Raw genomic sequence first — 12,775 nt, 5'->3', positions numbered from 1 at the left:
GTTCCCCCTTTCCCTTCCCAATCACAAGCATACAGCTTTAATTAAAGGGGGATCTTCAGAAAAATAATCTCCAGTGGCCACTGACTCGGCCTTACATTTTAAAAATCAACTGTCTTGGCTGGAAAACACAATTTCAACACTGTCAATTTCTAATATTTTATGTGCTCTGCAATTGATATACCCATACCCTTTGTCATTGGGAAAACAACTAATTATATTAACACACAGCAGTATAGAAACAGATTACATATCTACCAAGATTTATGATTATGAATTATGAAAATTCAAATAACTACTATGCTGTAAAATACGGTACAATTTAGATACTCAACTTTTAAATCCTTGAGGTTGTTATTCATCAATACTTGCTTATAATTATGTTTAATAGTAATGATCTTAACTTCCTACATGAAGTAAATTAAGTACTCTGATCATTGATAAAAGATGTAATTGCCTTAATGACTACTCACATTTTAAAACACTGATGCTGTCATTTTCTATGACTGTGATAATTTGTTAAGTGTTTGAAAGGATTAAGTTAAAAGAACATCAGTTCTGTGACTAGGAGATAAATCAATATCAAATGTCAAGGGGAGGGTACGTGAATGCTGAAAATAAGCTCCCCAGATGGTTCTGAAAGGCCCTCGGTTTCACTTGAGAATCACATGAAAATACTTAAGAAGGCTTCACCAAATTTAAAACTGAAACTTAAGTTTATAATCAAGCAAAAAAAAAATCATTTTACCTTTTAATGATGACAGGTAGAGTTGATACTTCTCTCCACCACATTTTATTCTCTGACAAAGTTCAGGCAACAGTTTTTTCCACCACAGAGTCTATCTTAGGAAAAAATGAATAAATTTTAGTTTGATGCATTTTATTCTCAGATTTCAAAGGAGAATAAGAAGATTGTGCAGGAAAGCACAGAGCAAAAATACATCATTTTGTCTAAGGCAGCTAACTTTGTTATAACATAAGTTATATCAGCAGCCAGTCTTCTGCCTTAACTATAACGTAAAAGTCAGGTTCGTAACTTGAAAACCCAGTAATACATATATTGTACATATGTACATGGCTATTTTCAAGAAGTAACAGACATATCCCGTTATCATCTCCTATGTGGCAAGAAGGAAGGAATGAAGAAAAAAAAGAACTAAGGTCCAAAATTCTTCTAATTTCTAAACTAAAAACCGTATGGCAGAGAAAATATTTTCCCATCATACACTGTTCCCAAATCTTCAGGTAATCAACTACTTCATCTCCAAACAAAAGATGTTTAATGATGATAATATACCATCTCCATATATTTTAACAGCATTTAATAGTACTCAAAACACGTAACATATTAAACATATATGCTCAATGGACCCACACAGCCTTATGATGTTGGATTAGCATAAATTGTCCCCATTTTGCAGGAAAGGAAATGAGGTTATCAGATCTGATTATCACTGATCAAGCCTAAAAACATAATCTGAAAAAGCATACCCGGTTCTCTTCTTTCAGTTCATGATTAGCATATGGAATGACTGCCTCCGGGCATCTCTCTAACAGTATGTCTATGCACTGTTCATACTCTTTCAAGCGTGTACGACACAGAACATGGACACTGAGGCCGGCAATAGTGTCTTCTGAAAGTGGCTCCAAGAACGGAATAATGGAAGCTATGTCAAATGAAGGACCACATATAAGAGACTATGAACAGAAAAGTGAAATGTTATGAAATGAGGCACCTCAAAAACTAAAACACAACATGCAGAATTCAATTTCTTAAGACTAAACCTCACTTGCCAAAAATAAAATAGAAAGAATGCCATATTAGAGCACATGCACGTGGTCCTTATTTAATAAATCTAAGTATAATATAATCTTGAAACTACCTCTAGTTTAAAGATCTCTTTAATAGAAAGCAATCATTTTTAAATAACATGATTTTATTTGCTTTGTGTGGACTGCAAATTAAAACCAATGGGCATTCTTTAGGACTCTATCCTAAGAGAATAATCAACATTGTGGTTAAAGATTTACGTCCAATGATGTTCACCGCAAGAGTATTCGCAATATTGAAAATTTAGAAGTAATCTACATGTTTAACAACAAAGGATGAGTAAATACATATGGCACACTCAGATAATGGAACATTACACAGCCATCAAAACTATGTTTTCAAAGGCTAGTTAATAAAAAAAGTTTATGATAAAATGAGTAAAAAAATTTCAATACAAAATTATATTCTGAACATGATCAGTTTTATAAAATCTACATAGGTAAATGCACATACAGAAATACTGTCGGAAGAGCATGGCAATTTGAAACAGCACACAGGATGGGACAACAAAGCCTACTCTTTGTTTTCTTTACACCCCTTCCTGTAGTTTCCAAATTTTCTATAAGCATGTGCTACATACATATGCAAAAATAAAATTTAACACTTAATAAGACTAAAGTGATTGTTTAGAACTAATCATTGTTATCAATACCACTTTGTCACAAGATGAATAACAGGGAGCAGTATTATCTCAGAATTTACAACTTTACCAATATTTACTTCAAGCAATTAAACTATAAATACTACTTTTGATTCTACCACCAAAATAATCTCCACTTTCCCTTTCTCCAGGATAAAGATGAGATGGTCATGTCCTAATTTTCTTGTCCCTGTACCCTTTTTGCTACAGCATCTTCTGAGACTCACAGGAGAATATGGAATGTGATCTACCCAATCACAGTCAGTGTGATTATTTTATTCCAAATATCTACCAAGGAATGACCAGGAGAATAAGGTTGGTACCTTTTCTTCCTGCAAGTTTAATAAATTATTCATGTGAATAATTTCCTGACAATCAGATGGCAGAGATGAAATAAGGTTGATAATCTCTCACTCAAAAGGTCTCCCAACATGGGAGAAAATAGATTACCTCTATATTTAACTCTTGACTAATCCAGATAATGGGGAAGGGAGTGGGGGCAGTAGGAAGGAGCAAAGCATGTGTACCAAATTATGACTGAAATGAAAGTAGTCATAACTTCAACTACCCATGAACTTTTACTTAGTTTTATCCATGTAATCAAGAAGTTTGAAAGTAAGGTCAGGTGCAGTGACTCACACCTGTAATCCCAGAACTTTGGGAACCCGAGGTGGGAGGCTTGCTTGAGCCCAGGAGTTGGAGGTTACAGTGAGCCATGACTGCCACTGCACTCCAATCTGGGCAATAGAGTGAGACTGTCTCTCTAAAAAAAAAAATTATAAAAGTTTAGGCAGACTATGTTTCTCCTTCAACAGCAAAGATTTTGCTCCTTTAATAGCAAAGATTTTCCTCCTTTAATAGCAAATATTTTCCTTTTAAAATATTTTAAAACAAATTTTAAAAGATCACTGAATTATACTTTTTCAAGCAATGATTATAAATATGCTTTAAAGCTTTATCAGGGAAAATTTAATAGCACTTATTCCAATTACAATTTTAAATATGTAATTAGTGTGTATGATCTAGGAAGGCAAAGCTCCATCTGTCTTGTCCAATGCTCCCCATACATCTACAGCACATGCTCAAGCAATATTCGTGAAATGAACAAAATCTGAGGCTAGCCCCTCAGAAGCCTTTGTATCACAATAGTACTAGAGACAAGAGACAAGAAGAATCTTCTTTGGTTATTTTTTAAAGAAGCACATAAATAATGCCATCTCTGGGAACACCACAGCCCCACCTGAAGGCTGAGTCTAAGCAATATGGCCTCTTCAGCTTCCCTCCTCTAAGCCCCATTCCCAATTTGACACTAAGTAACAACTACACTTATAGTGTAGTTCCCATAGTGTAAATGAGGTATTGCAAATTCAAAAGCCTAAAGAGGCCAATCAAATGATGAAGATGCATGAGGGCAGCTAGGATAAGGAAAACAGACACTCAGCATTTGGGTCAGGATGCCACAAAGATGATAACTGTGCGGGAGGACAGTGTGAGCACTGCCCAAGGAGGGGCTGCGGGTCAGCCCCAACCCTCAGGTCAGAAGCAATGAGGGCCTTGGGTTAACGGAGCTGCTAAATTTTTCAAGAGTGACTTGAAACTCAGAATTCTTAATAGGAAATCTTAAGTTTTGTATGTTAGCACCTACACTGGGAAGACCAAAGAAAACAGATGTGGGAATTATATTCGTTCTTTGGGCCACTGAACTACATTAAATAAAATCATATGCTCATGTGGCCCAGCCTGATCCACCAAGTCAAATGTGGACTTTAATTCTCACTGCCAGCCAAAACACTGTTGCAGTCAGAATTATTAAAGGATGATCCACATTCTCTAATCATCCCCCTCATTTCTGAAAAATCCTTTTCAGGAGCTGGATAAACTAACTACTTTGACCTGTTTCCTATAAGAGAAATAGCAGTGCCTGGCTTGGGTTAGAGACCTAAAATGTGTAAGTCAACACTAACAAAAACAAACTACATCAATAAAAACACCACTAAACATTTGCCACACTTTCATTTCACAAAGTGTTTTCAAGCCCATCCTGAAAATGAGGAAATCAGCCAGGAGACTTGGTGAAGTTCGTTCATCCACCTACAACAAAACCAGCCGCTCAGCACAGGTGTTCCAACCATCATCAGTTTCAGGCAGAGGCAGGCATTCCCTCCAAGTCTCCTGAGTATGCCTAACTATGGATTTTGTCCCTCAAAATTCTACATTCTAGATTAACAGGACACCTGGGGTCTCAGCAAATTTAATCTTACACTATATTGTAATATGCAATTTCATAAGAAAAGGAGGTATTTTTACTTACCTGTAATTTTGAAAGATCTTCTGTATAATTTTTATCAGCTAAAGAATCAGATGATATTACGACGTGAACCCATGGATAAATTAAGCCATAATGACTACAGGCATTTATCTAAAACATAAAAGAATTTCTCATAAACAAAATATAACAACAAAAGCTTGCTTATCCATTCCACAAAGAGCAAAGCAATCATTAATTCTCTGCCATGTCATAGAATTAGGTATATACTTTCCTGGGAATGGGAAGGAAAGTTTTTAAGAATTTTTCCCCTGGAAAATATTTCAGTCTTGCTTGCTTCTACACTAAATATTTCCTTATATTTTAAAATGTAAATACTCCAAAGAGGCACTTTCTAGCAAAAAGAGCAATACTGCATTTAAGCCAATTATACCTAAAAAGAATATTGGAAATAATTTTTATTAATACTACTTTCTTTAGAAGGCAAAATATCTTTCATAAATTCTCAAGACAATCCCCAAGAAGCCCTGCTTATTCAAGAAGCTGGTAACTTCTCCACTTAACCCTCCATTAGCCATGGCTAATGAGCTAGGACAGAAATGGGCTAGGAGCAAGAACGGTAGCAAGAAGGGTAGAAAGAGTTGTTACTGGCTGCCTCAAGTGCCACAGAACAGCTCCTGTATGTGCAACAGACAGGAAATGGGGGCCCACTAAGGCAGTCTCCCTCCCACAGCCTTCTGCAGTTCCTCTCCCACCAAGGAGGTCTGCAGATGTCTTCTCTCTTATGTTCCACTTAATGATCCTCTGCTGAGGAAGGACAGATGAGGTGATGTTCTGGAAGAAGTCCCTTTCTCCATGCTTTGGCAACTGAGCTACCACTGCAATTAAGTGAGGGACATTAATAAGTAGAGGACATTCTTTAGAGTACAAAATTATTTAAAATGTAGGCCACTTCAGTTAAAGACAAATTTTAAGTGTATTTTTAACTCCTGCATAAATAAGATACCTGGTAATAGAAAACTAGGTTAGATTTTATAATAAGTTATTAAAAATAAGGTATGTTTTTGTAATGGGCAATGCATGAGTTAAATTTAAGGTATTATTCCATTATCTTACCAGATCCTCCGATGTTCGCAATGGTGTGGTGTCAGGAGGCTGCCTCTTAGACAATCTCCAGATGTACTGTGATGTGAGTTTGAAAAAGAGTTCCTGAAGTACCACATCTGGGAGACATGCCACTAGCTGAGCTTCCCAAAAGTCTACCAAGAGCTGAGGAATTGTATCTTCATCCTTAGCACAAAGCACCTTAAAAACAGTAAAAGGAGCCTCTATATTCCAGATAAATATAGCACTGATAAAGCGACAGCTGGGCTGAATATCACAGCATCACATGGGCCACGCAATCAATAATTTACCATTAGCATTAGCGCCATGGCAAAAGCAAATTTAGACATTTTTAAAAGGAAACAGATTCTAGGATGTACAAATAAAGTTTCTACAGATATAGTCTTTTAATTAGTACTTTTATCTTATAAACTGATTATGTATGTCTGTTTTTTCAATAAACAAACAAATGAAAAACTCACTTCTCTTATTCTGTCCCTCCCCACCACCAATTTAATGAGGCCATCCAGAAAAATCACATTTTCAAAGTGACAAACCTTAAAAAAGGAATCTGCTTCTTCAATTCCAATTTTGTTGTTCTTCTGCAAGCCCAGAACTGAAGCCACAAGCAATCCAGGCTGAGTTTCCTTCAAGTGAAGTGCAAGCTCGGTTGGAACAATCTGTCCCTTTCTCTGTTGAATCAACAGCCGAGGTTCCAGAATGAAGCCACATACCAACTTCATCTTCAGATAAGAAAGAAATTTAGGAACAAAAGGTACATTGTATTTAGATTGTCCATTTTAGAAATACTAAACATGCTAGTGCATTCACAATGCATGGTTAAGCTATTAATAATTTAATCACAATTTTTTCTTTGACTATAAAGGCTAGTTCTTATCCAAAGGACACCACTGACTGTCTTACAGAAGTTACTAACATTTAACTAAGAATCAAGGTGTCCTATTTTTTGTAGAGAGCTTTATATTTAGGTCTACTTGATTTGAAAATGCAGTCAATTTTCTGTATTCGTGGGTTCCACACCCATGGATTCAACCAACCACAGATCAAAAATATTCGGGATGGCTGAGTGCAGTAGCTCACACCTGTAATCCCAGCACTTTGGAAGGCCAAGGAGGGCAGATCACTTGAGGTCAGGAGTTCGAGACCAGCCTGGCCAACATGGTAAAACCCCATCTCTACTAAAAATACAAAAATTAGCCAAGCATGGTGGTACACACCTGTAATCCCAGCTACTTGGGAGGCTGAGGCAGGAGAATCGCTTGAACCTGGGAGGTGGAGGTTGCAGTAAGCTGAGATTGCGCCACTGCACTCCAGCCTGGGCCACAGAACGAGGCTCTCAAAAAAAAAAAAAAAAAAAAAAAGGGTGTGGGGGAACTGCTTCTGTTCTGAACATGTACAGATTTTATTATTATTCCCTAAACAATGCAGTATTAACAACTATGTGCATAGCAGTTGACATTATATTAGGTATTATAAGTAATATAGAGATGATTTGAAGTATATTGGAGAAAGTAGATACGTTATATGCAAATACTATGCCACTTTATATAAGCAACTTTAGCTTCTGTGGATGTTGGTAACTGTAGAAGGTTCTGAAACCAATCTCCCATAAATACCAAGTGATGACTAATATATCTTAAGTTTTTTCAAAATTATGAAGATAAAATTCATTTTTCTAGAATTCTACTCTTCAAAACAGAAGACATTCCGATGTTGACTTGCTCTCCTCATCATAACAAAGCATGTCATTTGTATAGTGATAAAGCACTTACGTTCTTCCTTTTTTAGCAACCCAAGTCATACTGTGGGCTTTGGCCAGTCTGGCAAGAAAACAGTGCAGGAGCACAGATTCTGAAATCAGGCTGCCCGATTCAATTCTGGCTCTACAACTTAACTGCTGTGTGATCCTGATGAGTTACTTAACCTCTCTGTGTCTTAATTTCCTCATTTGTATAATACTCCTACCCTATAGCAGTATTAAGAATTAAATGATATATGCAAGGAGCTTAGAATAGGCCTGGTAAATAATAAGTGTTCAATTACACTACCTCCTATTTTCTTCGCTTAAATGATTAACACCTTTGGTAGTGTCCCTAAATGACCTCTTTTCCAAGGGAAAGCCTGTGTTTCTTGGTATACCATTCAAATGTCCAATCCTCTTAATCTGTGATTTTCCCAAGCGGGGGCTATTTCTGCAACTACTAGACTCCTAAAGCTCATGGCTAATATCCCCTTTGCTGTTCTTAAATACATACTACTCTGCTTTTCCAGTGCACACACCATATCCCTCATGCCAGATCACATCGTCCCCTCGGAGCAGAGCCTGTTCTTTAGTACCAAGCTCAGTGCTCTGAACGCACTTGACACTAAGTTGAAGTCTTTGTATATCCACTGCTGTCATTTATCAGTCTTATTTATTTTTCATTTGCCAGATCCGAAGTCCCATTTGGATCACTTTGTTTCTAATATTGTCTGTTTTCCATTACAACCAAGAATATATAAGCTAGAAAGAAGCCAGAAGACAGCTAAACACTTCAGGATTACCAGGTCCTATTTCAGCCTTCTGTTAGCACCGGGCAGAGCTCCATACCTCTGAATGGCTTTTCATTTCATTTCTGTGCATGTCAAGATCTCCCATTTTCAGAGCCACTGCTGCCTTGGTCAATGTCACTAAGATCGATGAAAACCCAGAAGTATCCAGCTTCCTTAGATAGCTCATGGCAGTTAAAGGATTAATATTCTTCATAGAAGGACTACAGAGAATATGGGGCACTTGCTTTGGCTCAGCCACATAAAACATCTGAACCACTTTTGCTGCTAATTCCTTTGGTGAGCACGAAGGAATAAAAGGAATAAAAGGTCAGTCAGCCAGAAGAAAGCAACAAAATCAGCAAAACATATGTGCAAAAAGCCAAGACACAAACATTCCAAGTAAGATAAAATTATAGTATTATGTTTTAATTTTAAAAAGACAAAAACTGATACTAATACATGGGAGGCCTGAGATAACCTGAAGTGATCTTTGCTGATTATAAGGAAGAAAAAGCAATGAAAATATGTACCAGGTTATGGCCAGCGTTTCTAATTTTAACACTTCAGAAGAAGAAAATAAACATTTGATTGAATGACAATAAAAATCCATCATAAAAACTACTATTTAGTTCAAAATATACCCAATTAAGTAATTTGTATGAGAAAATTTCATTTCAAAACCTTAAAACATTTGATACCACAATTTCTAATGTGGCATATTTGCATCCAACTATGTATAAAATACATGAGGGGTTATCGTTTCTTTTTTCTCTCTAAGACAGGGTTTTTCTGTATTGCCCAGCCTGGAATGCAGTGGTGTAATTGTGGCTCACTGTAGCCTCAAACTCCTGGGCTCAAGCGATCCTCCTGCCTCAGCCTCCTGAGTAGCTGGAACTACAGGTGTATGCCACCAAGCCTAGCTAATTTTTTAATTTTCTGTAGAGATGGGATCTTGCTATATTGCCTAGGCTGGTCTCAAACTTCTGGCTTCAAGTGATCCTCCCACCTCAACCTCCCAAAGTGTTGGAATTACAGATACTAGCCACTGTGCCCAGCCCTAAAAATAATCCTTAATAATGTCTTTAGGTCACTGGCCTAAGGTCAGAGTTTTATAAGTGAAGTTTAGGACACAAGGAGTAAGGGACAATTAGGGTTGCGGGAAGGACTGCAGATGAGAAGATGGAAGGCAAGGCCCGCATTCTGTGTAGCTCTACTGAGGACATGCTACTGTCACTGGGCAGGTGTTGAGACTACAACAGACCACATGTCCCTGTCTGTATAATGAGAAAGTATGAGAAGATTATCCATAAGTTCTTTTCCAAGCTATAATTCTATCTTCATTAATGAAGAAAAGGTCACATTACTTTTTTAGAAAAAGAGTATCAAAGAAGAAAAATATTTGGAATCTGACTTCTAAACAGTACTACATAAAATAAACCATTAAAATGAAATGTTAAAAATATTAGATAGAAAACAGAAAACTATAATCACTTCATTTAATTCTTCATCCAGGTTTTCATAAAGTGAATGATTAATGTAAAAGATTAATCCTCTCTCGTATTTCTGTAATCCATCCTCTACTGTCCAGTCCGTGCGGGCCAGAACTTCAGCCATAGACAAACCAGACATCTTATAGTATGGCAAGGTGAGATGAGAATGCTGGGAGTCAAGCCTAAAGGGAAGGAAATGAAAAACCTCAAATTTGTCACTTTTTTAAAGACGGGGTCTCACTATGTTGCCCAGACTGATTTCAAACTCCTGACCTCAAGTGATTATCCTACCTCAGCCTCCCAAAGTGCTGGGATTCCAGGTGTAAGCCACCATGCCTAGTCAAATTTGGAATTTTTAAACCTGGATATCTAAAACATTCTATAACAGAATATATCATGCTTTCCAGAAGATAGAAATTCCAAAATGCTTTTCTACTGCCATTAGTAACTGAAACAAACTCCTAAGTTTTATCTTACAAACTTCTAATTAATGCAGTTTCTTTTTGCCTGCTCATAATAGAAACAAAAACAACAATTTAAGTTAATTCTAATATTCATGATCGGACTCTAAAATAATGGTGTTTATAGGAGGAAAAGTCTGTTTTATTAATTTTTAACCATTCATGTGGATCAAGTAAGTCTGAAAACAATCATATGCAAAAAAATTTGTAAACATTACTCTCAAAAATAAAAACATTATTCATACCAGTGTCCCTTTCTGATATCATAAAAGCACTGACTACTGAGATCAAAATCACAGACTGTCCAACTGGCAGCTCTCCCTTAAGGTAGCAGACAATAAACTAGTCATACCTCTCTAATGATTAGAGCTGTTTAACAAGGTAGTATTTATAATCATGTATGTATTAAACTGGCTCATAGATGGTGGGAAAAAAGTCCTTCAGCTAAGCCCTTGTCAGAATGGAAAACAACCACTTTGTTTACTTTTAGGGTTTAATATGTCCAAGTGTTAACTTTACTAACAAAATATATGTTTTTAATGTCAGGGATTTTCAAAGCTTGAGAAAAATGTCAAAGTCCTAAGTTAAATGGTGGGAAAATCACAAACTTGAGACTTACTGCTCATCTTCTAAACTGTGACTCCTTGAGAGCAGGAAATGGGTCACATTCATTTTTGTATGTTTAAGCCTAGCACAGTGCCTAACAGAGTATGTGCTCAACAAATGCTTGTGGAAGAAGGGAATAAATGAACCACCTTCCCATTTATCAGGTAACTACCAGAGATGGAAAAGCTAACAAGTGTACCCAAAGTTCAAGATGACTTCTGTAACAAGGTTCCAAGAGGTGTCACCCACCTGCTGTAACAGTCCCCAAGGTGCCCACAGCTTTCCTTAAATGCTTCCAAAAGCTCTGCCTTCTCTCCAGGTTCCAGCTGACTGGCATCCATCAGGGCAGCTCGCACTAACAGATGAGCCTCACTGAGAAGGTGAATGCAGCTCTGGGTTTTGACAGTCTTATAGGTATTGCTATAGTCTACCTAAACAAAAAAGACAAACACTAATGTTGCTGAAGAGAGACTCTCAAAAGTTCCTGAGTTCTTAAAAACATTTATATATTTTGTTAGTAAAGTTAACATTTGGACATATTAAACCCTAAAAGTAAACAAAATGGTTATTCACCATTCTGACAAGGGCTTAGCTGTAGGGCTTTTTTCCCACCATCTATGAGCCAGTTTAATACATACATGATTATAAATAATACCTTGTTAAACAGCTCTAATCATTACAGAGGTCCAAATAATACTGTAATACTAATAATACTGTAAACTTAGCAACAATTTGATCTCAGTAAGACTAGTGAACATGTTAATATTTGAAATAAACTTCAAAAAATTGTGATTTAATTCTTTCTCAAATTTAGACTGAGTATTCTTCCCTTATTTTAGTTTTGATTGGTAAGTTTAGGCTCTACTACATCTATTTCCATAACTCATAGAGGGCTCATAAAAATTATCACTAGCTAATCTGACTCAATCAATATATTCAGACTCTAGCGGTCAAATCACCTAAACGAAGACTTTCAATTAAGCAAGACTGAAAAGACAGGGCACAGCTAATATAATAATTGGCATTAAATTATTGGCAGGGACAAATCAGGCAACACCTTGACCTGATGACCAAAAATTAACATCACCAAAGAGGGGTAGATGAACAGCATGTGCCTCCAGATGTGATACCCTTAACACAAAAATCACCTATGCAATATTCTGGCTGAAAATGCATAATCTGAATCTAACCATTAAAAAAAAAAAAGCAAACCCTAAATAAGGAATACTCTCAAAAAAAAAGTAGAGGGGAAAATTATATTTTTCAAAAATGCTCATGTCATAAAACATAATGAAAGGCTATAGAAATATTCCAGCTTCAAAGGAGGCTAAAGAGACATCATAGTTAAACACACTACCTGATCCTAGACTGGGTCTTGAACTGGAGAAGGGGAAATGCTATCAAGCCATTGGGTCAGTTGACAAAATTAGACTATGAACCATAAACCAGATAAAGCACTGTGTCAATGTTAAATTTATTAAAGCATACTACTGTATTCTGGTATGCAAGAGAGTATCCTTATTCTTAGAAAATATACGCTGAAGTACTTAGGGGCAAAAGACTGATGTATGCAGTTTACCTCCCGAAGAAGAATCAGAAAACAGTGTATGTATATCTGTGTGCACAGAAAGCACAGAGTGCATAAAAGAGAGAGAGAAGCAAATAGGGTAAAATGTTGACTGTGGAGAAATCTGTGTGGGGAATGGGAATATATAGAATATTCTTCTTTTTTAAAAAAGAGTCAAAAGAGTCAGGGTCTTGCTGTGTCACCCAAGCTGGAGTGCAGTGGTACGACCATAGCTCATTGTGGCCTTGAACTCCTGGGCT

At 36.6% G+C, this 12,775-nt stretch overlaps 2 protein-coding genes across 9 annotated transcripts in view; one reads left to right on the top strand and one right to left on the bottom strand.

Moving 5' to 3' along the window:
* Window positions 1-6,315, top strand: part of CP (ceruloplasmin) — a 59,416-nt gene extending 53,101 nt beyond the window's left edge. For all 4 annotated transcript variants that reach the window (NR_046371.2, XR_427361.4, XM_006713499.4 and 1 more), the window contains 2 exons: window positions 2,679-2,783; window positions 5,854-6,315. Coding sequence is in view for 2 of the 4 variants with exons in the window: in XM_006713499.4 (XP_006713562.1) it covers window positions 2,679-2,770 (92 nt within the window). In the remaining 2 variants the exon portion in view is untranslated. The remainder of the gene's footprint in view (window positions 1-2,678; window positions 2,784-5,853) is intronic.
* The window catches only part of HPS3 (HPS3 biogenesis of lysosomal organelles complex 2 subunit 1), a 44,095-nt gene that overhangs the window by 5,004 nt on the left and 26,316 nt on the right, over window positions 1-12,775 (bottom strand). For 2 of the 5 annotated variants that reach the window (NM_032383.5, NM_001308258.2), the window contains 8 exons: window positions 11,198-11,379; window positions 9,883-10,063; window positions 8,450-8,683; window positions 6,396-6,581; window positions 5,851-6,039; window positions 4,780-4,887; window positions 1,489-1,695; window positions 746-836 (listed from right to left, as the gene is read on the bottom strand). In NM_032383.5, coding sequence (NP_115759.2) covers window positions 746-836; window positions 1,489-1,695; window positions 4,780-4,887; window positions 5,851-6,039; window positions 6,396-6,581; window positions 8,450-8,683; window positions 9,883-10,063; window positions 11,198-11,379 — 1,378 coding nt within the window. Of the gene's footprint in view, window positions 1-745; window positions 841-1,488; window positions 1,696-4,779; window positions 4,888-5,850; window positions 6,048-6,395; window positions 6,582-8,449; window positions 8,684-9,882; window positions 10,064-11,197; window positions 11,380-12,775 lie in introns of those variants that run through there. The other 3 variants (XR_001740328.3, XM_047449064.1, XM_005247834.5) reach the window with 3 other exon arrangements.

Source organism: Homo sapiens, chromosome 3 (genome assembly GCF_000001405.40).
Source record: "Homo sapiens chromosome 3, GRCh38.p14 Primary Assembly".
Lineage (NCBI taxonomy): Eukaryota > Metazoa > Chordata > Mammalia > Primates > Hominidae > Homo > Homo sapiens.
This window is presented reverse-complemented; position numbering and strand designations above follow the sequence as displayed.